The sequence below is a fragment of the Homo sapiens genome, chromosome 19, assembly GCF_000001405.40.
Source record: "Homo sapiens chromosome 19, GRCh38.p14 Primary Assembly".
NCBI lineage: Eukaryota > Metazoa > Chordata > Mammalia > Primates > Hominidae > Homo > Homo sapiens.
This window is the reverse complement of record NC_000019.10, coordinates 16,549,837-16,573,109: the sequence shown is the minus strand read 5'-3', so window position 1 is coordinate 16,573,109 and position 23,273 is coordinate 16,549,837. Positions and strand designations below refer to the sequence as shown.

Genomic DNA, 23,273 nt, shown 5'->3' with positions numbered 1-23,273 from the left:
CGGTCCCCAGTGTGGCCAGGAAGCCTAAGACAAGTCGCTTCCCCATTCTGGACTTCGGTCTGTGAAATGCGGACAGTGATACCTACCGCACCGCGTTCCTAGGATTCAGTGGGATGATACCAGGGCCACGCCCGAGAACTGCGCACGTCGCGGTGGTTTCCAGAACATGATTCCAGGGATCGGGTGCTCCGGGATAGTCCCACTGCCAGAGTTTGGCCACGAGCGTGCGCCCCCAGTTTGCAGAGCGAGTTTAGCCCAAGAGCTTTTCACAAATGGTTTCTTTCCCTAAAAGGCCTTTTACCTTTGGTGTCAGCCGCCGCCAGCCATCAGGAATCAGGAATCTAGTTAGCGGTTGCCCTTGTATCCCTGGTCGAGGCCCTGATGTTTGGCCCACGCACAGACGCCGACGCTGCGAAGCCCTCCGCGCTTCTGTTCGCCCGTCCCGTTCGAGCTCCGGCTCCCGGTCACTGGGACCGCCCACGTCTCAGGTGGCACAGCTTGGACGCAGGTCTGTGTCCCCTTCTTCCGCTTCCGGCCTCGGCTCCGCCGGAAGCGCATCTACAGTGGACTGGGCCTGCACTCGAGACGTGGTGGCTGGCGCGTCGGCCGGCGCGGAGGGATGACGCGAGGAGGCAGCGACCAATGGGAAACGGCGTAGACCGGGGCGCCTGCCCCCCCGCCCAGCCCCGCCCCCGCCCGGCGTCGGGCCGTCGGACGGGCTGGAAGGGGCGGCCGCTCGGGCAGGATGGCGGCGGCCGCGGTGGGCGCGGGCCACGGCGCGGGGGGCCCGGGCGCAGCGAGCAGCAGTGGTGGGGCGCGCGAGGGCGCGCGGGTGGCGGCGCTGTGCCTGCTGTGGTACGCGCTGAGCGCGGGCGGCAACGTGGTCAACAAGGTGATCCTGAGCGCCTTCCCGTTCCCGGTGACCGTGTCGCTGTGCCACATCCTGGCTCTGTGCGCTGGGCTCCCGCCGCTGCTGCGCGCCTGGCGCGTGCCCCCCGCGCCGCCCGTCTCGGGCCCCGGACCCAGTCCGCATCCGTCGTCCGGCCCGCTGCTGCCGCCGCGCTTCTACCCGCGCTACGTGCTACCGCTCGCCTTCGGCAAGTACTTCGCGTCCGTGTCAGCGCACGTCAGCATCTGGAAGGTGCCCGTGTCCTATGCACACACCGGTAGGTTCCGCGCCCGGCCTCGGGGGCGGCGGCCGGGCCCGCCGCTTCGGGTTTGGGCGCATGGATAGGAGTGCGCCGCCCGGGGCGCGTCCCGCCGGACTGAGAAGTCAGCAGAGGGGCTGCCAAGGGTTTGGTAGGGGAGGGACACGCACGGGGTTCTCAGGGAGAAGAGGAGCTGAGAAGAGAGCTGAGAGGTAAGCAGGACAGACCACAACAGCCGTGGCAGGAGGAAGCCCTACCGAAAGAGAAGGGGCGAAGAGGTGTGAGGGGCTGCCAGGCCCTCCCATCCCGCCGTGGAGGTGGAACAGGTTGGGCCCTGAAATTCAGGCAGCCCCCTGAGTGCCCATCCCTCTCTTTGCAGTCAAGGCCACCATGCCCATCTGGGTGGTCCTCCTGTCCCGGATCATTATGAAGGAGAAGCAGAGCACCAAGGTAACCCCGGGCAGGGACTCTGGGCAGATGGGAGCTCCAGGGGGTTCCTCCCTGTTGCCAACTGGTGACGTGGTCAGGATCCTGGTCTGCAGGCTGCCTGGCTTCCCGTCAAATAGGGAAGTCAGTGTAGAGGTCTCCAGTGGCCTTTTACTACTCAAGTTCTAGAATCACCCTGTGAGCAGTGGTGTGTGGAGTATGTGTCCCTCTGTGATCTCTGCTGTGTGGTCTTAGGAACACTGTTGTCCCTTTCAGATCCAATTTTCCTCCCCGTTTTGATTCCCTACCTGGGTTTGCTGGTAGGTGATGGGTTGGTCACATCTTGGCCATACACCCCATGTGTGGCCTTTCCAGTGGGACTAGGGATGGATGGATCAGAACGCTGTCGGTTAGGTGTTCACTTTTTTTTTTTTTTTTTTGAGACGGAGTTTTACTCTTGCCCAGCCTGAAGTCCAGTGACACAATCTCAGCTCACTGCAACCTCCGCCTCCCAGGTTCAAGCAGTTCTCCTGCCTCAGCCTCTCAAGTAGTTGGGACTACAGACGTGCACTACCACACCTGGCTAATTTTTTTGTATTTTTAATAGAGACAGGGTTTCACCATGTTGCCAGGCTGGTCTCAAACTCCTGACCTCAAGTGATCCGTCCGCCTCAGCCTCCCAAAGTGCTGGTATTACAGGCGTCAGCCACTGCACTTGGCTAGGTTTTCACTTCTTGACAAGAGATTTCTGTCAGGGGACCTCTGGGATCAGAAGCCAGACGCGATCCAAGGAGTTCGATCTTGGCAAAATCCAGCAAAGTCTTAGAAATTAAAACAGCCAGAAGTTGTGATGGTCTGGGAACGGAAGCGAAAGTGGCACACAGGACTCAGGGCTGCATAAGGAGGATGCTTTGGGCACAGTCCAAATTCTGTTCAAGATGCCAAGCCAGGGTATTTCCTGGCTTGGGGCAAGAATAGCCATGGCTTTAGCCGGAGACAGCTTTATCCCGTATTCTTAAGTGGAAGTTGGGCGCTTGTTGTCTCAGCCGGAATCCATTTCATGCTGATGCTGGACACCGTGCCTCTTTTCCAAGTGGTTGGTTTCTGGCATGTTGTATTTTATGTAACTCAGAGAGGTAGTGCCCTGGATCGGCTTATAGAAATTGGGCCACCTATGGCTGATTTTTTTTTATTCCTGCCTGTCTTTGTCTCAGCAAGACCTGTGTGTGCTCTGTAGCCCTGCTCCCCCAGGGTGATGTCAGGCTGTGACTTGGCTCCTGAGAAGTCAGAGTTGTCCCTGAGGTGTGTAGCTGCATCACCGGATATCATCGTGTGTATCAGGTTTCCCCGTTGTACGGGACATTGTACCCAGCTTGGGCAAGGAGCCGGAACTTCACACAGTGAGGAAAGACTGGGAATTGGCCCGGTTAGGCAGCCAGACTAATTATAATGACATCATAACTTCTAGGAACCTGCCCTGCAAGGCAGATAAGGCCAGTAGTCATCATTCCTGATCTCAGGTTTTCCTGAGATGGACTGAGAGGGGAGAATCATGTGCCTGAGGGCCACAGCCTGATATTCGGGAAGCTGGAATTCAGGTCCACAGCCCTCGGTCTGCCCTCCTTGTGGCATGACCACTCCCTCCTAAAATCTCCACCTCTCCTATCTCTCCTTAAGAGTGTTTGTTTTTCTGAGACGGAGTCTCCCTCTGTTGCCCAGATTGGAGTGCCGTGGTGCGATCTCAGCTTACTGCAAGCTCCGCCTCCTGGGTTCAAGCGATTCTTGCCTCAGCCTCCCGAGTAGCCGGGATTGCAGGCGCGTTCCATCACTCCTGGCTAATTTTTGTATTTTCAATACAGACAGGGTTTTACCATGTTGGCCAGGCTGGTCTCAAACTCCTGACTTCAAGTGATCTGCCCTCCTCAGCCTCCCAAAGTGAAGAGTGTTCTTTGTAGGACAGGATTGAGCCGAGAGTCAGAAGAGCTGGACACGCGGGAATGGATCCTGGTGGATCCTGGAAGTTGGGAGTTGTTTAGCCCTGCATGCCAGACCTTCTAGAAGGCTCTCTGTCACTATGTTTGCTACTCGTTCATTCAGCTAGCAGCTATTGAGTGCCTACTGAGTGCTAGGCACCAGGATAAAGCAGTGAACAAGGACCTGCTCTAAGGTACACTAACGGGACCGGATGATGTAACAGACAGAGTGGGTGGAGAGGCTGGGCACGGTGGCCCACGCTTGTAATCCCAGCACTTTGGGAGGCCAAGGTGGGCAGATCACGAGGTCAAGAGATCGAGACCATCCTGGCCAACATGGCAAAACCCCATCTTTACTAAAAATACAAAAATTAGTTGGGCGTGGTGGTAGGCACCTGTAGTCCCAGCTACTCAGAAAGCTGAGGCAGAAGAATCGGTTGAACCTGGGAGGCAGAGGTTGCAGTGAGCCGAGATCATGCCACTGCATTCCATCCTGGTGACAGAGCGAGACTCCGTCTCAAAAAAAAAAAAAAAGAGTGAGTGGAGAGCTCTCTGCTGGGGAAGTCCAGGCAGTGGCCCTGGGAGCACAGCACAGGAGCCTCCCAAGGTGGAGGTGGGTTGGAGAAAGCACTCCTTGTGGAGGCAGGAGGTCACTGGGAGGAGAAGGCATCAGTGGAGTGTGCCAGCCAGGAGTAACCATACTGGAAGAGCCTGAAGTAAGAGGGAATGGGGGCTGGGCACAGTGGCTCACACCTGTAATCCCAGTACTTTGGGAGGCCAAGGTGGATGGATGACGTGGATCAGGCGTTCAAGACTAGCCTGGCTAACATGGCGAAATCCTGTCTCTACTAAAAGTACAAAAAAATTGGCCGGGCGTGGTGGCACATCCCTGTAATCCCAGCTACTGGGGAGTCTGAGGCAGGAGAATCGCTTGAACCCGGGAAGCAGAGGTTGCAGTGAGCCACGATTGTGCCACTACACTCCAGCCTGGGCGACAGAGCGAGACTTTGTCTCAAAAAAACTATTTTTTAAAAAGAGGGAATGGGGGAGCCTTATAGAGGATCAGGGCTTCAAACCCTGGTGCGTCAGTGGCAGCTGAACAGATCTGTGGAGTTAGGACCAGCCCCGGGCTGTGGCCCTGAGCAGAGGCTCTTAATGGGGGTGACGGTATGGGGATGGGGCTACCCACAAATAAGCCCTGCCCCTGGCGCTCTGATAACCACCTGCCCCCAGCCACCCACCAGAGCGTCACTGGCACAGCAAACACCACTTTCAAAGTGTTAGGTGGTATCCCTTTGCTGAGGGAGGAGAGGGGCTCTTCCCTGGGCATCTGTGGCATGTGGCCCAGCTCTAGTCTGGCCTGTGAGCCCTTCTTGATGACCTCTTCCTGCAGGTATACTTGTCACTCATCCCCATCATCAGCGGTGTCCTGCTGGCCACCGTCACCGAGTTGTCTTTTGACATGTGGGGACTCGTCAGCGCCCTCGCCGCCACGCTGTGCTTCTCGCTTCAGAACATTTTCTCCAAAAAGGTATTTGGTCACCATCAGCGGACATGCATGGGGTTTCAGGGGTGTGCGGGCAGCAAACTGGTGGCATTGGGAAAACAGGCGGAGTAGAAATTTCTTTGCTATTAGAGCAGAAAAATCTTGATTGCCATTCTGCTGATTTTCTGTTTGTCATTTTGCTTTTTAAATAGTTTGTTTTTCTGGCCGGGCGCAGTGGCTCATGCCTATAATCCCAGCACTTTGGGAGGCCAAGGCGGGCGGTTCACTTGAGGCCAGGAGTTCAACACCAGCCTGACCAATATGGCAAAACCCCATCTCTACTAAAAACATAAAAATTAGCCAGGCACGCATCTGTAATCCCAGCTACTCCAGACACTGAGGCACAAGAATTGCTTGAACCCAGGAAGCGGGGCTTGCAGTGAGCTGAGATTTTGCATCACTGCACTCCAACCTGGGCAAGAGTGAGTCTCCATCTCAAAAACAAAAAAAAGTTTTTCTATTATAAAGTTAATGTGCTCAATAAGAAAAAAATAAAGAAAAGCTCTTTTATTGAGACCAAGGCTCACTGTCGCCCAGGCTGGAGTGCAGTGGCACAATCATAGCTTACTGCAGCCTCAGTCTTCGAAGCTCAAGTGATCCTCACACCTCAGCCTCATAAAGCACTGGGATTACAGGCATTAGCCACCAGGCCTAGCTAAAAACTTCAATTTAAAACAAGATTTTAAAACTTGTTGAAGCCTAGTGCAGTGGCTCACATCTATAATCCCAGCACTTTGGGAGGCCAAGGCAGGAGGATCACTTGAGGCTAGGAGTTCGAGACCAGCCTAGGCAATAGGAATAGAGTGAGACCCCGTCTCAAAAAAAAAAATTGCTCTTAACTCCTGTGATAATCACACACTTTTCAGGTACCACAGTTAATGCAGTCTCTCTATTGGAAATACCACTTATTTCCAACTTTTCATTGTAATGTAGAAACAATCACGTGTGTGATGTTTTCCTGTCTCAGTTATTTCATTATGATAGGCTTACAGTTCTCAGGTTAGAGGGTATGAAACGTTAATCACTCTTAATATGGTTTGTCTGGTCGTATTTTAGAAAGGTTATACCAATTCAGCCTCAAACCAGTGGAATTTCAGAGTGCCTACTTCACTTCATCCTCACCAGCACTGAGTGTTACTGTTTTATTTTTGTTTTCTTTTCTCAGTCGTTTATGCGTGGAGCATGGTGCTTGTTTCAGGCCTGTGCTGTGTATGTCCTCACAAATGCACTTGCAGGTTTGGTGTCCAAGCTCAGATGTCAGGGTTAATGTCCAGTCACTGTGTTTGGGGCCTGAGTCACTGGAGCCCTTTTTGCCACATATAGTTTTAATCACCCTCTAAAGAGGCTTTCCCTTTCCAGGTCTTGCGAGATTCACGGATCCACCATCTCCGGCTGCTCAACATCCTGGGCTGCCACGCCGTCTTCTTTATGATCCCCACCTGGGTTCTGGTGGACCTCTCGGCTTTCCTGGTCAGCAGCGACTTGGTGAGTTGTACAGCACCAAGAACACGCCATTTTCTTGGCTAGTTCCAGAATAGGTGCTTTGTTGAGGAGCTGTAGCTGCATGTTAACATTGTGGTATCTTTTGGGCACCTGACAGCCAGCGCTTTCAGCAGTCAGTCCTCTGTAATGCCTCACGGTGACGATGCACGCCATCGAGGAAGTGGGTTTCCTGTGTATTTCCTTCTCTGGTGTGCTTGATCCCAGGTGCTGATAGCTGCTGTGTGTGCGCCAGTAGCGTCAAGGAAGAGAAGGTGACTCTTTCACCTCCTGACAGTATAGTCCAGATAGCACATTGACTTTTTATTTTTACTCATTTTTTATTTTAAATGTTTATTTTTTAGAGACAGAACCTCGCTCTGTTGCCAGGGCTGGAGTGCAGTGGCACAATCATGGCTCACTGCAGCCTTGACCTCAATCCGGGGCTCAAGCGATCCTCCCACAGCCTCCCGAGTAACTGGGACTGCAGGCGAATACCACCATGCCTGGCTAATTTTTTTTTGTTTGATTTTTGTTTTTTTACTGTTTTTGGAGAGACAGGGTCTCACTATGTTGCCCAGGCTGGTCCTGAACTCCTGGCGTTAAGAGATCTGCCTTGGCCTCCCAAAGTGCTGGGATTACAGATGTGAGCCACTGTGCCTTGCCAGCCCTGGAACTTTGAAAACTATGCACTGGCCAAAAAAAAAAAAAAAAAAAAAAAAAGCCGGGCGCAGTGGCTCACGCCTGTAATCCCAGCACTCTGGGAGGCCAAGGCGGGCGGATCACGAGGTCAGGAGTTTGAGACCAGCCTGGCCAATATGGTGACACCCTGTTTCTCCCAAAAATACAAAAATTAGCCAGGCATGGTGGCTCGCACCTGTAGTCCCAGCTACTTGGGAGGCTGAGGCAGAAGAATTGCTTGAACCCAGGATGTGGCGGTTGCAGTGAGCCGAGATGGTGCCACTGCACTCCAGCCTGGGTGACAGAGGGAGACTCCGTGTCAAAAAAAAAAGAAAAAAACATGCGCTGCCTGGGTGTGGTGGCTTACGCCTATAATCCCAGCACTTTGGGAGGCCAAGGTGTGTGAATCATTTGAGGTCAGGAGTTCGAGACCAGCCTGACCAATATGGTGAAATCCTGTCTCTACTAAAAATACAAAATTAGCCAGGCGTGGTGGTGCACGCCTGTAATCCCAGCCACTTGGGAGGCTGAGGTGGGAGAATCGCTTGAACCCAGGAGGCAGAGTTTGCAGTGAGCCGAGATCGCACCACTGCACTCCAGCCTGGGCAACAAGTGTGAAGCTCCGTCTCAAAAAAAAAAAAGAAAGAAAGAAAACTGTGCAGCTCAGTTCCTCCCTGGTCTCTGTTTCCATTTACTCCACGTCGAATCTTTTTGCCACCTGCAGGGTCTGCCTTCAGAGAATGTGTTATAAATGAATGCAAGTGCCTGCGGTGAGGAGGAGGCCAGTGCGATTCTTCCAGACTCGAGTTAGAAAGGAAAAGTAAATATTTATTGAGGTCTTAATGTGGTCTAGCTGGATTTGTGACATTTCTTATCTTTAATCCTTGGCTCCACCTGCTGAAGTAGTGGATATTACCTCTATTTTCCCAATCAGTAAACCATGGCTCACTTTTCTAACTTTCGTTTCACATTGATGAGCTGTAATTCTTCTGTGAAGAACTTTCCATCTTCCAGGACTAGTTTGTTACCTTGAAGTATGGTACGAGAAAGGCAGTTTAATGCTTAACTGTTCCTTTTGATGACTAATTTTCAGGATAGAGAGTTGGAGCTTACTCCAAATGTTGACCAGAGTTGAGGGTTTGTTTGGGGGTAGGGAAGGGGTTCTCTTTTTTTCTCCAGCATCATTGTGAACTTTTATGTGTTTGTCAGTTGCATGAATTATTCGTTTTCCTAGTCAAATTGTCCTGTCTTGGCCAGGCGCAGTGGCTCCAGCCTGTAATCCCAGCACTTTGGGAGGCCGAGGTGGGCAGATCACTTGAGGTCAGGAGTTCAAGACCAGCCTGGCCAACGTGGTGAAACCCCATCTCTACAGAAAATACAAAAATTTGCCAGGCATGGTGGTGCACGCCTGTAATCCCAGCTACTCAGGAGGCTGAGGCAGGAGAATTGCTTGAACCTGGAAGGCGGAGGTTGCGGTGAGCTGAGATCGTACCACTGCACTCCAGCCTGGGCGACAGAGCGAGACTCCATCTTAAAAAAAAAGAAGAAAAAAAAATTGTCCTGTCTTAGCCATTGGAGCCCTTCTGATTGGCTCCTTGCCCTTCTAGCACTGTGGGTCAGCGTTTCTCCCAGCGGGATGCCCGCCTTCACCTTGTGTACTTCCCATCCCAGAGCTGCAGTCAGCCCCTCCTTCAGGACTCCAGGTGCCGTTAGTGGGGAGCGGTATTTAGAGACACAATCCAGGTGCCATGGGTGCTTTTTGCTGCTGGGTGGTCATTGTTGTTAGGCCTTTACTGTGAAAAATTAGGAAGTACACACTTGGGGCAGCAGCAAAGAGTTCCTAGCAATTAGCGTCACTTTCAGTTGAACAGTCCAGATCTTTGCTGTTTTGAATTTCATATTTAGATCTCGTCGCTGGTATGCTTGGTTCCGCTCCTCGTTTCTTAGTTGCTTATTCTACCCGTTATTCACTGATGTTATTCTACTGTACACTCACTCATATAATTGCTTCAGAATGAGCATTCTCACAGCACAATTGCAACTGGAGTGCTGAGAAAAGGTTAGTATTTCTTTGCAGGCTGGGTGTGGTGGCTCACACCTGGAATCCCAGCACTTTAGGAGACCGAGGTAGGTGGATCCCTTGAGGCCAGGAGTTCGAAACCAGCCTGGCCAACGTGGGGAAACCCCATCTCTAGAAAAAATATAAAAATTATCTGGTGTGGTGGCGTACGCCTATAATCCTAGCTACTAGGTAGGTGGAGGTTGCAGTGAGCTGAGATCACGACACTGCACTCCAACCTGGGTGACAAAGTGAGACTGTCTCATAAAAATAAAAAAAAAGAAGAAGTCTGGTCATGATTCCTGTACTCTCCCTGTCCCCTCCCTGACCATGGATAACATTTCTTAGGCTCCTAGTTCACCTGTTCCATATTTTTGCAAATATAAGCAAATTTGCATGTATAATCACCCTCTGTCCTTATTACACACAGAGTAGCTTTTTATTTTATTATTTTATTTTATTTTATTTTATTTTTTGAGACGGAGTTTTTCTGTCTCCTAGGCTAGAATGCAATGGCATGTTCTCGGCTCACTGCAGCCTCCGCCTCCCGGATTCAAGCAGTTCTCCTGCCTCAGCCTCCCGAGTAGCTGGGACTACAGACACCCACCACCGCGCCCAGCTAATTTTTTGTGTGTTTTTACTAGAGGTGGGGTTTCTCCATTTTGGCCAGGCTAGTCTCAAACTCCTGACATTAGGTGATCCACCCACTTCGGCCTCCCAAAGTGCTGGAATTATAGGCGTAAGCGACCACGCCCAGCCCAAAAAGTAGCTTTTTAAATTTACAGGTCAGGCACAGTGCCTCACACATGTAATCCCAGTATTTTGGAAGGCAGAGGCAGGCAGACTGCTTTAGCCTCAGGAGTTTGAGACCAGCCTGGTCAACATGGTGAAACCCCGTCTCTACGTAAAACAAAACCAAAAATTAACCCGGCATGGTGGCACATGCCTGTAGTCCGAGCTACTTGGGAGCCTGAGGTGGGAAGATCACTTGAGCCCGGGAAGGTCAAAGCTGCAGTGAGCCATGTTTGAGCCACTGCACCCCAGCCAGCATGACAGAGCAAGACCCTATCTCAAAAATAAATATAAACATACAGTCATCCTTCCATATCTGTGGGTTCCACACTAGTGGATTCAGCCAACTGCGAATTGAAAATATATGGTAGAAAAACAAAATACTATAATAAAGAATAAGACATTTTAAAATAATACAGTATAACAATTATTTGTATAGCAGTTTTATTGTATTAGGGATTACAAGTAATCTAGCGATGATTTCAAGTATATGGGAGGATGTGCATGGATTACATGCAAATACTAAACCATTTTATAAAAGGGACTTGAATATCTGTAGATTTTGGCATCCGCAGGGGTCCCTAGAACCAGTCCTCCGTGGATACTGAAGGGGAGCTGAACTATTCTGCACCTTGTTCATTTCATCTCATCGTCCCAGAGAGCTCTTCATAACGACATAGAAGGCCTTTCTCATTTCTTGTACGGCTGTGTAATAGTGTCAGTGGGTTTCCTGTCAGTTCCTCTGCTGTTCTGTGTTACAGCTCATTAGAGTATGTATGTGTCCACACATGGACAGAAACATACAGGCTTTTGCTGTGTTTTTTTGTCTTTGCTTTTCTTGCACTTAGGACATTTTGTGTTGTTATTGTTGTTCTAGTCATTATCTTTTTTGTTGTTGTAATACCTTAAGTAACCTTTTTTTTTTAGTTGAGGCTATGTATGTTATGTTTGGTGGTGTTTTGTTTGGTTGGTTCTTTTTTTTCGTAGAGACTGTCTCCCACTGTTGCCTAGGTTGGTCTTGAACTCCTGGCCTTAAGCCATCCTCCCGCCTTGGCCTCTCAAAGTGCTGGGATTACAGCTGTGAGCCACCACACTTGGCCCATATGTTTTTTAACATGAGCATGACTTTGTGTATTTTAATAGCAGCCCTAGGCATACACCATATTCACTAATGTTGCAGTCTGAAGATGGGGTTCCCACATGTCTGGGTTCCCCCTCTTTGTCTTGTGTCTCCCACATAGACTACACAGACAGCAGGTTAGTTAGCACCGTCGCAGTCCTGTTCTCCAGAACAGGCGGGAAGAGGATGAGATGGGAGAATGTCAGCTGGTGTCTGCTGCTCTCCAGTCTACCAAGAATCAAAGGCTGCAGTGGGCAGTTCCCAGAGACGCCTGGCCCAGTTGCCAAATGGCTTGGCAAAAGACAGGCGGGGATTCCTAGACTCTGGAGCAGGTGGCCTGGTTTCAAAACTTGGACAGAATGCATGAAGCAGCTACTTGAGAACCGAGAAATAAATGGTAGCAGGCAGATGGGCGGAGGAAAGACCAGAATTCAGAGTGCCTTGGAGCCACCAGTGAGTTCGTCATTCTTCTTCCTCCTGTGTCTTCAGCCTGGACATGAGGCAGCTCAGAAGGTAGATGTGGGCACTGAATGAGAACAGAGATGTTCTCTGCTTGGAGTCTGGAGAATGGGAAAGGAGACTCCTAACCCTCAGAGAGAATGGAGGAAATCCCCTGTTAGGCTTTCTCTTTTCTTTTCTTTCTTTTTTTTTTTTTTTTTTTTTTTTTTTTTTGAGATGGAGTCTTGATCTGTTGCCCAGGCTGGAGCGCAGTGGCGTGATCTCAGCTCGCTGCAACCTCTGCCTCCAGGGTTCAAGAGATTGTCCTGCCCCAGCCTCCCATATAGCTGGGATTACAGGCACATGCCATCATGCCCAGCTAATTTTTATGTATTCTTTTTTTTTTTTTAGTAGAGATGGGTTTCACCATGTTGGCCAGGCTGGTCTTGAACTCCCGACCTCAGGTGATCTGCCTGCCTCGACCTCCCAAAGAGATAGGATTACAGGCGTGAGCCACCACACCTGGATGCCTGTTAGGCTTTTTCTCTTTTTTTTTTTTTTTTTTTGGTTTTTTTTTTTTGTTTTTGAGATGGAGTCTCACTCTGTCACCCAGACTGGAGTGCAGTGGCACGATCTTAGCTTACTCTAACCTCCACCTCCCAGGTTCAAGTGATTCTCCCACCTCAGCTTCCTGAGTAGCTGGAATTGTAGGCGCGCACCACCACTCCTGGCTAATTTTTGTGTTTTTAGTAGAGACGGGGTTTCACCATGTTGGCCAGGCTGGTCTCGAACTCCTGACCTCAGATCATCTCCCTGCCTCAGCCTCCCAAAGTGCCGGGATTACAGGCGCCAGCCGGCACGCCCGGCTGTCTGTTAGGTTTTTTTCTATTTTCTTTTTTGCCTTCATCTCTTGCTTCCCAGGCTCCTGACAATCCTACGTTGGTGGCAGCAGCAGCAGGTTCCACAGCCACCTAAAACCCTGAGAAGGGCGACTCTTCCTCTGCTGTTTGAGGACATATAGTCCTCAGAGGATGGGATGAGCCCTTTTGCAGCTTGTTCTCTGTACTGTCACTGCTTGACCCTCAAATGGGGGTGTAATCACAGGAAGTGAACAGCAGAGTACGGTGATTAAACCTCAGCTTTCTGACTGGAGGGCCATGAAAGGGAGGGACTAGGAAACTAGAAAGTACTCAGGAGATTGTGTGGAGGGAGGAGCTGAGGACAGCGACCTCATAAAGTCGCCCATGGAATCCCAGGCTCGCCCCTGAGCGTCACACATGTGAGGATGAGATCTTAAACAGCATACCAAAGACTAAGAACAGAACTGTGGGAGAGACCACCGCTTGGCTTTCAGACTGACCACAGGCGGCACAGACTCAGGACAGAGCCAAATACCACTGGAAAGGCTTTGAAAACATAACTGACATTGGAACCACAACCCACAGAAGGCTGGTCAAGCCTGCAGCCTGAACCCAGCATCATCAATTGCCTGCTAAAACAAAACATCAACATTCTTCATAGGATTTAAATAAGACCCAGACTTTTATAATATGCGAAATGCCCGGGATTCCAGCCAAAATTACGTAGTTTACGAAGACCCAGGAAATTCCAGGTGGTTGGGAAAAGACAATCAACAAGGGCCAACAGTGCAATGATACAGATGTTGGGATTATCAGACAGACTTTAAAGCAGTGATTACCATCGTGCTCCAAGGAGCAAAGTAAAGACTCTGGAGACAAATGTGAACAGATAGAAGATAGAGTGAAGAACCAAATGGAAATTTTTTAAATTCCTTTGAGAGAGGGTCTCATTCTGTGCTCAGGCTGGAGTGCAGTGGTACAATCACAGCTCACTGCCACCTCAACCTCTCTGGGCTCAGTGATCCTCCCACCTCAACCTCTTGAGTAGCTGGGACTACACGTTCACACCAGCATATCTGGTTAACTCTGTGTGTGTGTGTGTGTGTGTGTGTGTGTGTGTGTGTATTTTTTGTAGAAAGAAGGTTTTGCCATATTGCCCAGTCTGGTCTCAAACTTCTGGGCTTAAGTGATCCACCCGCCTCAGCCTCCCAAAGTGCTGGGACTATAGACATGAGCCACCAAACTTGGCTAGAAATTTTCTTTTTTTTCCCTTAGACGGAGTCTTGCTCTGTCACCCAGGCTGGAGTGCAGTGGCGGGATCTCGGCTCACTGCAACCTCTGCCTCCCAGGCTCAAGTGATTCTCCTACCTCAGCCTCCCGAGCAACTGGGATTACAGGCGCCTGCCACCATGCCTGGCTAATTTTTATATTTTTAGTAGAGATGGGGTTTCACCATGTTGGCCAGGCTGGAGGCCAGAAATTTTTAAATGGAAGATAGTAACTTAAAAACTCACGGGATTGGCTGGGCGTGGTGGCTCATGCCTGTAATCCCAGAACTTTGGGAGGCCAAGGCAGATGGATCACAAGGTCAGGAGTTCAAGACCAGCCTGACCAACATGGAGAAACCCCGTCTCTACTAAAAATACAAAAATTAGCTGGGCGTGGTGGCACGTGCCTGTAATCCCAGCTACTCAGAAGGCTGAGGCAGGAGAACTGCTTGAACGTGGGAGGCGGAGGTTGCAGTGAGCCAAGACCATGCTGTTGCACTCCAGCCTGGGCGACAGAGCGAGAGTCCATCTCAAAAAAAAAAAAAAAAAACTCAAGGGATGGACTGAAAAGCGGAATGGAGGTAACAGAGGAAGGAGCCAATAACTTGAAGATAAATCAGTCTACATTATCCAGTTTAAACAACAGAGAGAAATTAGATCAGAAGACAATGGACAGATGGCTGGGTGCAGTGGTTCATGCATATAATCCAATCCCAGCACTTTGGAAGGCCGAGCCAGGTGGATCACTTGAGGTCAGGAGTTCGAGACCAGCCTGCCCAATATAGTGAAACTCCTCCTCTACTAAAAATAGAAAAATTAGCCAGGTGTGGTGCGGCACACCTGTAGTCCCAGCTACTTGGCAGGCTGAGGCAGGTGAATTGCTTGAACCTGGGAGGCAGAGGTTGCAGTGAGCCAAGATCGTGCCACTGCACTCCAACCTGGGTGACAGAGTGAGACTCCGTCTCAAGAAAAAATAGGCCGGGTGTGGTGGCTCACACCTGTAGTCCCAGCACTTTGGGAGGCCAAGGTGGGCGGATCACCTGAGGTCAGGAGTTCGAGACCAGCCTGGCCAACATGGTGAAACCCCATCTCTACTAAAAATACAAAAATTAGCTGGGCATGGTGGTGGTTGCCTGTAATCCCAGCTACTCGGGAGGCTGAAACAGGAGAATCACTTGAACCCGGGAGGCAGAGGTTGCAGTGAGCTGAGATCGCACCATTGCACTCCAGCCAGGGTGACAAGAGCAAAACTCTATCTCAAAAAAAAACAAAAACAAAAAAAAAACTTCACCATCCTGGCTAACACGATGAAACCCTGTCTCTACTAAAAATACAACAATTAGCCGGGCATGGTGGCGGGCGCCTGTAGTCCCAGCTATGCGGGAGGCTGAGGCAGGAGAATGGCGTGAACCCAGGAGGCGGAGCTTACTGTAAGCAGAGATCCCACCACTGCACTGCAGCCTAGGTGACAGAGCAAGACTCCGTCTCAAAACAAAACAAAACAAAAAACTTCAGTACATGGAATGTTACACACAGTGGAGCATTACTCAGCAATGAAAAGGTACCAACTCTTGTCCCTCACAACATGGATGAATGGCAGAGTTGCCACACTGAGTGAAAGCAGCCTGTCTCCAAAGGTTCCCAGCCATGTGATTCCAGCTCCATGACAGTCTCCCAAGGACACACGGATCATGACAGAAAACATGGATGGTTGCCAGGTTTAGGAGGAGGGGGTTAGGACAAAAGAGAAGCCCCCCAGGAGTGTCCTAATCCCTGATGGTCATGGTGGTTCCATGAATTGATGCATTTGTTAAAATGCCTGGAATTGGCCAGGCGTGGTGGCTCATGCCAGTAATCCCAGCACTTTGGGAGGCCGAGGCAGGTGGATCACGAGGTCAGGAGATCGAGACCATCCTGGCTAACACGGTGAAACCCCGTCTCTACTAAAAATACAAAAAATTAGCCGGGCGCGGTGGCGGGCGCCTGTAGTCCCGGCTACTCGGGAGGCTGAGGCAGGAGAATGGCGTGAACCCAGGAGGCGGAGCTTGCAGTGAGCAGAGATCGCGCCACTGCACTCCAGCCTGGGCGACAGAGCAAAACTCTGTCTCAAAAAAAAAAAAATGCCTGGAATTGTGCACCGTGCTGCCAAATCAGTCCATTTTATTATGTATCTTTTTTTTTGTTTTAAACCAGATTGGTTGGGTTCCCTTCCCAGAAGATAGATATCTATGCAAGCAGGAAGAAAATAGCATGGAAATCCTAACCGATCACCTTAGGGAGCGACCCCTGGGAGAACAGGCTGGCCCAACATGAAGGCATCCTGGTGGGCTCATATATATTACAGGGGCTATTCCTCCAGTGAGGTTCCCCGCAGAAGCTGCAGGGTGTATGGCACAGGTAAATGGATTTGCATTTGGGAGTTCCAGTCTTGAGTTGGTTGACATTGAGCTGGTCGCCTAAGCGTGTCTTCTTGCATTTGAGAGGACCGTGTGATCCTTCTCTCTTGGAGTGCAGTGGAGATGGAGTCAGGTAGACATCCTGCAGCTCCAGCAGGGCCGCCAATCACGGTCACCCTGGGCTGAGCCAGCTCTGTCCTCCTGTGGCCAAGGTCAGCGTGGCCTGGAAATTGGCCTACAGGGCAGTGTCTACCTGGTTCTCACCTGTCTGCCTGTCCTGGGACCAGCCTAGGCTCTTTGGGGGATTCCATGGTCCCGATGTCTGCTAGTTGTGATTTCTTAATTTCTGGATCCCTTAGTCAGAATGGCCTCATTCTGGTCAGGGTCAGATGGTAAAGTTTTGTGGGGTTTTTTTGAAACAGTGTCTTACACTGTCGCCCAGGCTGGGGTGCTATGGCGCCATCGTAGCTCACTGTAGCCTTGAACTCCTAGGCTCAAGCGATCCTCCCACCTCAGCCTCCCAGGTAGCTGGGACCACAGGTGTGCACCACCATGCCTGGCTAATTTTTTTTTTTTTTTGTAGAGACAGGGTCTCACTGTGTTGCCCAGGCTGCCCTCGAATGATTTTTTTTCCTTAGCCTCCCAGAGTGCTGGGATTACAGGCATGAGCCACCACGCCCAACCTAAACTGGTTTTTTTGTTTGTTTTTTTGAGACAGAGTCTCGCTCTGTTGCCCTGGCTGGAGTGCAGTGGTGCAATCTCAGCTCACTGCAACCTCCACCTCCCAGGTTCAAGAGATTGTCCTGCCTCAGCTGGGATTACAGGCATGCGCCACCACACCACACCACACCCGACCAATTTTGTATTTTTAATAGAGACACAGTTTTACCATGTTGGTCAGGCTGGTCTTGAACTCCTGACCTCAGATGATCCAGCTGCATCGGCCTCCCAAAGTGCTGGGATTACAGGTGTGAGCCACTGCACCTGGCCTCAGCTGTTGATGGTAACGTCACCTCTTGTGTTTGTTTGGCTTGAGATTGTTGTAAAGCACTTCAAAAGCCATGATTCTGTTCATCCTCGCAGCAATAGGTGCAGACCCGTGGCTTTCGTATTACCAGGTACTTCGCAGGCTCAGAGCCACCTTCCCAGGACCTCCAACCCTGTAGAATGCATTGCGTCCAACAAGCAGATCCCTGCTTTGCCAAACCCAGGGTTCCTGGCTGTTCACTGCCAGGGAAGGCTTTGGCTTACGTCTTGCTTGGTGCCCTTTGGGGACCTGGCTTCACCTGTTTCCTTGGCAGGAGACGGCGGGTGATTCCCATGCTGTGTGGTGTCATGAGGTTCTGAGGTCATGGACCTAAAGCACCTAGTGTCTCTTGGTGACACATCTGGACTGGCTGCCTGTGGACCATGAGGCTCCAGATGAGCCCCTCCACATCCCTTCCCCTAACCCTGCCAGGTGGATACAGGGAGGCAGGGTCACCGCTGCCCACTGAAGTGCTGTCTTTACCTTCCGGTCTCTGCAGACCTACGTCTACCAGTGGCCCTGGACGCTCCTGCTCCTGGCTGTCAGCGGCTTCTGTAACTTTGCCCAGAATGTTATCGCCTTCAGCATCCTCAACCTCGTTAGCCCCCTGAGCTACTCGGTCGCCAATGCCACCAAAAGAATCATGGTCATCACGGTGTCCCTGATCATGCTGCGCAACCCAGTCACCAGCACCAACGTCCTGGGCATGATGACCGCCATCCTGGGGGTCTTCCTCTATAACAAGGTGAGAGTCTGAGAGGCTGGGCAGGGAAGGAAGCCGGCCCCCCAACACCCAGGAAGTCAGAAAAGGAAGGGCCTCCCGGGCGCTCAAGGCTGGGGTTGTATGTCAGAGCTTTGCCACTGACTGGTTTATGATCTTGGCGTAGCCCCATCCCACTCTGGCTTCCTTTTTCCTGCATAGGCAACCTCAGGTCCTCAAATCATTCCGGCTGTGTCTCAGCTGGGGTTTTCCCTCCCTCCTCTCAAAGGCTCTGTTTAGTGCGGTGTAAGGACATGGGATGGCCAACAGGGAGGGCTTGCCTTCTTTTCCTTTTCTTTTTTTTTTTTTTTTTTTTCGAGATGGAGTCTGGCTCTGTCACCCAGGCTGGATTGCAGTGGCGCTCCATCCCAGCTTACTGCAACCTCCGCCTCCCGGGGTCAAGCGATTCTCCTGCCTCAGCCTCCCGAGTAGCTGGGACTACAGGCGCCTACCACACCTGGCTAATTTTTGTATTTTTAGTAGAGATGGGGTTTCACCATCTTGGCCAGGCCAGCCTCCAACTCCTGACCTCAGTTGATCCACCTGCCTTGGCCTCCCAAAGTGTAGGGATTACAGGCATGAGCCACCACACCTGGCCTCTTCATTTGTTTCTTAACACATGTAGATATGGGGTCTCTCTATTTTGTCCAGTCTGGTCTCCAACTCCTAGCCTCAAGTGATCCTCCCGCCTAGGCCTCCCAAAGCACTTGAACTACAGGCATAAGCCACTGCGCCTGGCCAAGGACTTGTCTTCTGAGTCTGTCCATGCACTGTGGTCTGGTCCATTCAAGTCTGCTTTCCTTGCTCAAGCCCTATGACTTATGCCGGCCCCGGAGGTTAACTGACTTTTTTTTTTTTTTTTTTTTTTTCTGAGACAGCGTCTTGCTCTGTCTCCCAGGCTGGAGTGCAGTGGTATGGTCCCAGCTCACTGCAACCTCCGCCTCCTGGGTTCAAGTGATTCTTGTGCCTCAGAACGCCTGAGTAGCTGGAACTACAGCATGCGCCACCACACCCGGTTAATTTTTTGTATTTTTAGTAGAGACGGGGTTTTGCCATGTTGCCCAGGCTGGTCTCAAACTCCTGAGCTCAGGTGATCCTCCCGCCTCGACCTCCCAAAGTGCTGGGATTACAGGTGTGAGCCACCGCAGCCAGCCAGTTGATTGACTTTGAATTACGAGCTCTTATGCCCCGGGCATGTCCTGTCTCATTGCTCTCTTTCTGGCACAGACCAAGTACGATGCAAACCAGCAAGCCAGGAAGCACCTCCTCCCCGTCACCACAGCAGACCTGAGCAGCAAGGAGCGTCACCGGAGCCCACTGGAGAAGCCCCACAACGGCCTCCTCTTCCCCCAGCACGGGGACTATCAGTACGGCCGCAACAACATCTTAACAGACCACTTCCAATACAGCCGGCAGAGCTACCCAAACTCGTACAGTTTGAACCGCTATGATGTGTAGAGTCCAAAGGACAGGACCAGACTGTTGGTGACTCCTTCCCCGGCCCCCACAGCAGTATCAGAAACTTCTGACAATCAGTGAATGTACAACCCAGCCGAGGGGACGGTGCATAACTCTCCATCAGAAGCCCTGGGGTTCCTGGCCCCCCGTGAGCCGCAGGAGGATGCGTTGCCTGCAGTGCAGACGGCCGTGAGCTCTGGGCAAACCTAAACAGAGACCAGTGTCTCATGCTCTTTCTTCCTGGAGTCTGTCATCTGAGGGCCGTGTCCCTGCGGAGATCTTGGCCACGTTGTACCTTTCCATGTGGAATTATTCCCCAAGCAGTGTAGCTCAGAGCACTTGTGTCTGCATTCCAGATAACATTCAGGACCTGTGTGAAAAGCTGGGGTCACTGTGGCTGTAGACCATGAACTGGCAGTGGGGGTGTCCAGGGCGGTGCTTGAGAACGTCAGACTGGCTAGTTTAATTCCCTGGCGCAGATACGCATAGGACCAACAGGGTCACCAAGCAGACAGGGAGCCCGCGAGAATCATTCAAAACATCCCCAGCCACAGAGATGGATCCAGTTTCCTGGTCATCCCCTTAGCAGTTCACAAGTTCCTGGCAAATGTTCCAAAGCAAAAAGCGATTGCAATTAGCATCCAGTTCCTGCAGCCTGGTGCTCTGCCCTGCACGTCAGGGTTGGCATCCACCCAGATCCAGATGGAAGGGAAACTTCTCTCTTCTCCTTTGCCTCCTCTTCCCTCACCAGAGCAGGGCGCTTCTCTTGGGGTGGTGAGAAGGATCTTCGAGAAATCGTGTTCAGTATTTCAAGCTCTATTTCTGTGGCACATGTCTTTTGAGAGGCATCTTCACCTCTTCTGTGATGACTTGGTATGTTGTTTGGTAGAGAGATCTTGATTTTCGGAGGATCTTGCATTTTTCTAGGGAATATTTTGTAGTTGTGTGTGTGTGTTTTTGCCTTGGTCCCCATTATGGGATGCATTAGGACTGGCCTATGCATCGAAAATCTTTTTGTTTGTAAACGTTTAAAAACAAAGTTCCCCGGCCAGGCACAGTGGCTCACACCTGTAATCCCAGCACTTTGGGAGGCCAAGATGGGCGGATCACGAGGTCAGGAGTTCGAGACCAGCCTGGCCAACATAGTGAAACCCCATCTCTACTAAAAATACAGAAATTAGCCGGGCATGGTGTCGCGTGCCTGTAGTCCCAGCTCCTCAGGCTGCTGAGGCAGGCGAATTGCTTGAACCTGGGAGGCAGAAGTTGTGGTGAGCCGAGATTGTGCACTCCAGCCTGGGTAACAGAGCGAGACTCCATCTCAAAAAAAAAAACAAAACAAAACCAAGTTCCCACTGGTGATGCCTGTCTGACACGTTTTGGTATTTAGTAGGAAATGAAGTGTTTCGAAGCTTCGAGAGAAGCTTCAAAATTGTCACAATTGCTGAAAACAGAATGAATCGTGAACATTATCTCAATATTTTGTATAATAGACAAGACCACAGTGTTTTGGTTCCCTGACCTGTTTTTGTGTTTATGTTAGGATCTGAATCATGTTCTGGGTAAGGGGACGAGGAGCGAACACTGCACTAAGATTTGGTTTGCCAAATCAGATTCTTTGGTCAAGAGTCAGTTTGGGGCCAGGCGTGGTGGCTCATGCCTGTAATCTCAGCACTTTGGGAGGCTGAGGTGGGTGGATCACTGGAGTTTGAGACCACCCTGGCCAACATGGTGAAACCCCATCTCTACTAAAACAAAAATTAGCCAGGCATGGTGGCACCTGCCTGTAATCCCAGCTACTTGGGAGGCTGAGGCAGGAGAATCACTTGAGCCCAGGAGGTGGAGGTTTCAGCGAGCTGAGATCACACCACTGCACTCCAGCCTTGGTGACAGAGTGAGACTCTGTCTCAAAAAAAAAAAAAAAAAAAAGGAATCAGTTTGGGTCTTGGCAGAAATCAACATAAGGAATATGACAAGACCCCAGTAGGTAACCCTGAGTGCTCAGGTCCGAGCTGTGGTCTCTTTTACGGCTTCATGAAAGGACCGTGCCCTCACGGAGGGGACCACGGCTTGGCTTGTGGGGTCTTAGGTGATGGCTGCCTTCTTTCTTCATCACCACACCCAGCTTCTTGCTGGCACTTAGGGGAAGAGAGCAGCAAATGAGAGATTTACCTTTTATCTCCCAGCGAGCGAGATGTTTCCCTGTTCAGAGAGGAAGTAACATCACTTATGCTTGACTGGTGTTTCTTTTGTTGTTGTTTGTTTTTCTTTCAATTGGAATTCTGTATTTAAGATGTTATGTCAGCTGACACATGGGACACTCCTGAAGAGGTGACTGGCCCCCCACCCTGTTTGGCGGTGAGTTTCCGCACCACCGGCCTCAGAAGTGTCCCTCTTGCTTCGTCTCTTGTTCGCTTGCTTTGTAAATACTTTGGTCCCAAGCTGAGACAATTGCTGTGTAAAACGTGAAGAGTCAATCCCAAAGGGTGTTATTTGTCAGAAGAACTTGCCGTGTGCCTTCACCGAAGGCAGTCAAGTCTGCAGTTGGATTTTTCTCACTGGTGAATGACAAGAAACAGGGATAATTTTGCACTGCGGAGATATTACGGGAGTTGTCTATATGATTATATATAGTACCTGATTCTTTGAACATATTATTGAACTCCAAAATGAATTCGACCTCCATTCAGGCTTCCTGAAATCTCTGAAGTTGCTGAAATTTGTATATTATTTTCCTTTTCCAATGCAAGATCTGCTGGTGACGGGAAATGACTGTCTGGTTTTATTATGGTTTATAAATTAATAAATGGGCTATTTAATTCTGTATATAAATTTACAGCAAGTACGTACACTGGAATGAATGAGGCAATCACGTTACACCAAATCAGCAGATCAAAAGACAAACACATATTTCTGAGACTTGAAGGTCCACATCCCCCCGCCCCCTGCCAAGATGGAGTCTTGCTTTGTTGCTCAGGCTGGAGTGCAGTGGCGCAGTCTCAGCTCACTACAACCTCCATCCCCCGGGTTCAGGTGATTCTCGTGCCTCAGCCTCCCGAGTAGCTGGGATTACAGGCATGCACCACCACGGCTGGCTAATTTTTTGTGTTTTTAGTAGAGACAGGGTTTCACCATGTTGGCCAGGCTGGTCTCGAACTCCTGGCCTCAAATGATCCGCCCACCTTGGCCTCCCAAAGTGCTAGGATGACAGGCATGAGCCACCGTGCCCAGCCTGATTGACAATGGCCTCTTGAAGGCTGGGTTTTCCCAGCCGGACAGTGCCCGCCCCACATGCTCCACTCCCACGCTTTCATCTGCAGGCCTGCCTTCCTCTCAGCCACCTCACTGCTGAGCTCTGTGGTAGAGAATTTCCTTTACCCATCAGGGTATGGTCTGGCTGGTAATACTGACTCCAACCCAGCTCCTTCATTTTATAGAAGGAGGCATTTCTGAATCATGTTTGTTCACCATGGCGAGACTCACTGCAGAATTTTTAACCACCTTATTTTAAGTCATTCATTCTAGGAACAGTCAAGCCCCTACCACAAAGGGGCCAGATCCGTTCAAGTGAGGAAGCACTTGCAGTTTCTGAATTTTGCTGTATATTTGTCCTATGTCACCCAACAGGCCCTTTGCTATAGCTGGGACATTACCAGACCCCAATACCTTAGGGTCTCACAGCCTGAAGGACACAGAGCATTGAATTATTAAAAGACCTGAAAATATTATAATGTTTTTCAATTGTCACCTGTTTTCAAGACTTAAATGCTATAGACTTTTCTGCAGGAATGACGTGTATATTCCTCACTGGCATTTACCAAAAATAAATGATGGTTTCCAGGGAA

The 23,273-nt window shown here is 50.6% G+C and overlaps 1 protein-coding gene and 1 long non-coding RNA gene across 3 annotated transcripts in view, besides 7 other annotated features; one reads left to right on the top strand and one right to left on the bottom strand.

Annotated features, from left to right (window-relative positions):
• Positions 1–560, bottom strand: part of LOC105372295 (uncharacterized) — a 6,265-nt gene extending 5,705 nt beyond the window's left edge. The window contains exon 1 of one of the 2 annotated variants that reach the window (XR_936359.3): positions 87–560. This is a non-coding gene — a long non-coding RNA (uncharacterized LOC105372295). The remainder of the gene's footprint in view (positions 1–86) is intronic. The other variant, XR_936360.3, reaches the window with a different exon arrangement.
• Positions 1–660: part of an enhancer, noted in NCBI's record as "H3K27ac hESC enhancer chr19:16683261-16684135 (GRCh37/hg19 assembly coordinates)", that runs on past the window's edge. NCBI's record gives its function as "activates a minimal SCP1, AML or CMV promoter by ChIP-STARR-seq in primed H9 embryonic stem cells {active_cell/tissue: H9 hESC(primed)}" and the evidence as "EXISTENCE:reporter gene assay evidence [ECO:0000049][PMID:30033119]".
• Positions 1–798: part of a biological region, named in NCBI's record as "H3K27ac hESC enhancer GRCh37_chr19:16683261-16684135", that runs on past the window's edge.
• Positions 389–478: an enhancer, noted in NCBI's record as "active region_14238". NCBI's record gives its function as "activates an Ori minimal core promoter by ATAC-STARR-seq in GM12878 lymphoblastoid cells {active_cell/tissue: GM12878}" and the evidence as "EXISTENCE:reporter gene assay evidence [ECO:0000049][PMID:35858748]".
• Positions 579–798: a silencer, noted in NCBI's record as "silent region_10307". NCBI's record gives its function as "represses an Ori minimal core promoter by ATAC-STARR-seq in GM12878 lymphoblastoid cells {active_cell/tissue: GM12878}" and the evidence as "EXISTENCE:reporter gene assay evidence [ECO:0000049][PMID:35858748]".
• On the top strand, positions 695–23,273 carry SLC35E1 (solute carrier family 35 member E1). Its single transcript, NM_024881.5, has 6 exons — positions 695–1,166; positions 1,528–1,598; positions 4,941–5,078; positions 6,453–6,578; positions 17,713–17,958; positions 19,201–23,273. Exons 1-6 carry the CDS (start codon positions 746–748, stop codon positions 19,429–19,431), a joined length of 1,233 nt encoding a protein of 410 aa, NP_079157.3. The 5' UTR covers positions 695–745; the 3' UTR covers positions 19,432–23,273.
• Positions 929–1,038: a silencer, noted in NCBI's record as "silent region_10306". NCBI's record gives its function as "represses an Ori minimal core promoter by ATAC-STARR-seq in GM12878 lymphoblastoid cells {active_cell/tissue: GM12878}" and the evidence as "EXISTENCE:reporter gene assay evidence [ECO:0000049][PMID:35858748]".
• Positions 1,199–1,328: a silencer, noted in NCBI's record as "silent region_10305". NCBI's record gives its function as "represses an Ori minimal core promoter by ATAC-STARR-seq in GM12878 lymphoblastoid cells {active_cell/tissue: GM12878}" and the evidence as "EXISTENCE:reporter gene assay evidence [ECO:0000049][PMID:35858748]".
• Positions 3,070–3,570: an enhancer, noted in NCBI's record as "H3K27ac hESC enhancer chr19:16680351-16680851 (GRCh37/hg19 assembly coordinates)". NCBI's record gives its function as "activates a minimal SCP1, AML or CMV promoter by ChIP-STARR-seq in naive H9 embryonic stem cells {active_cell/tissue: H9 hESC(naive)}" and the evidence as "EXISTENCE:reporter gene assay evidence [ECO:0000049][PMID:30033119]".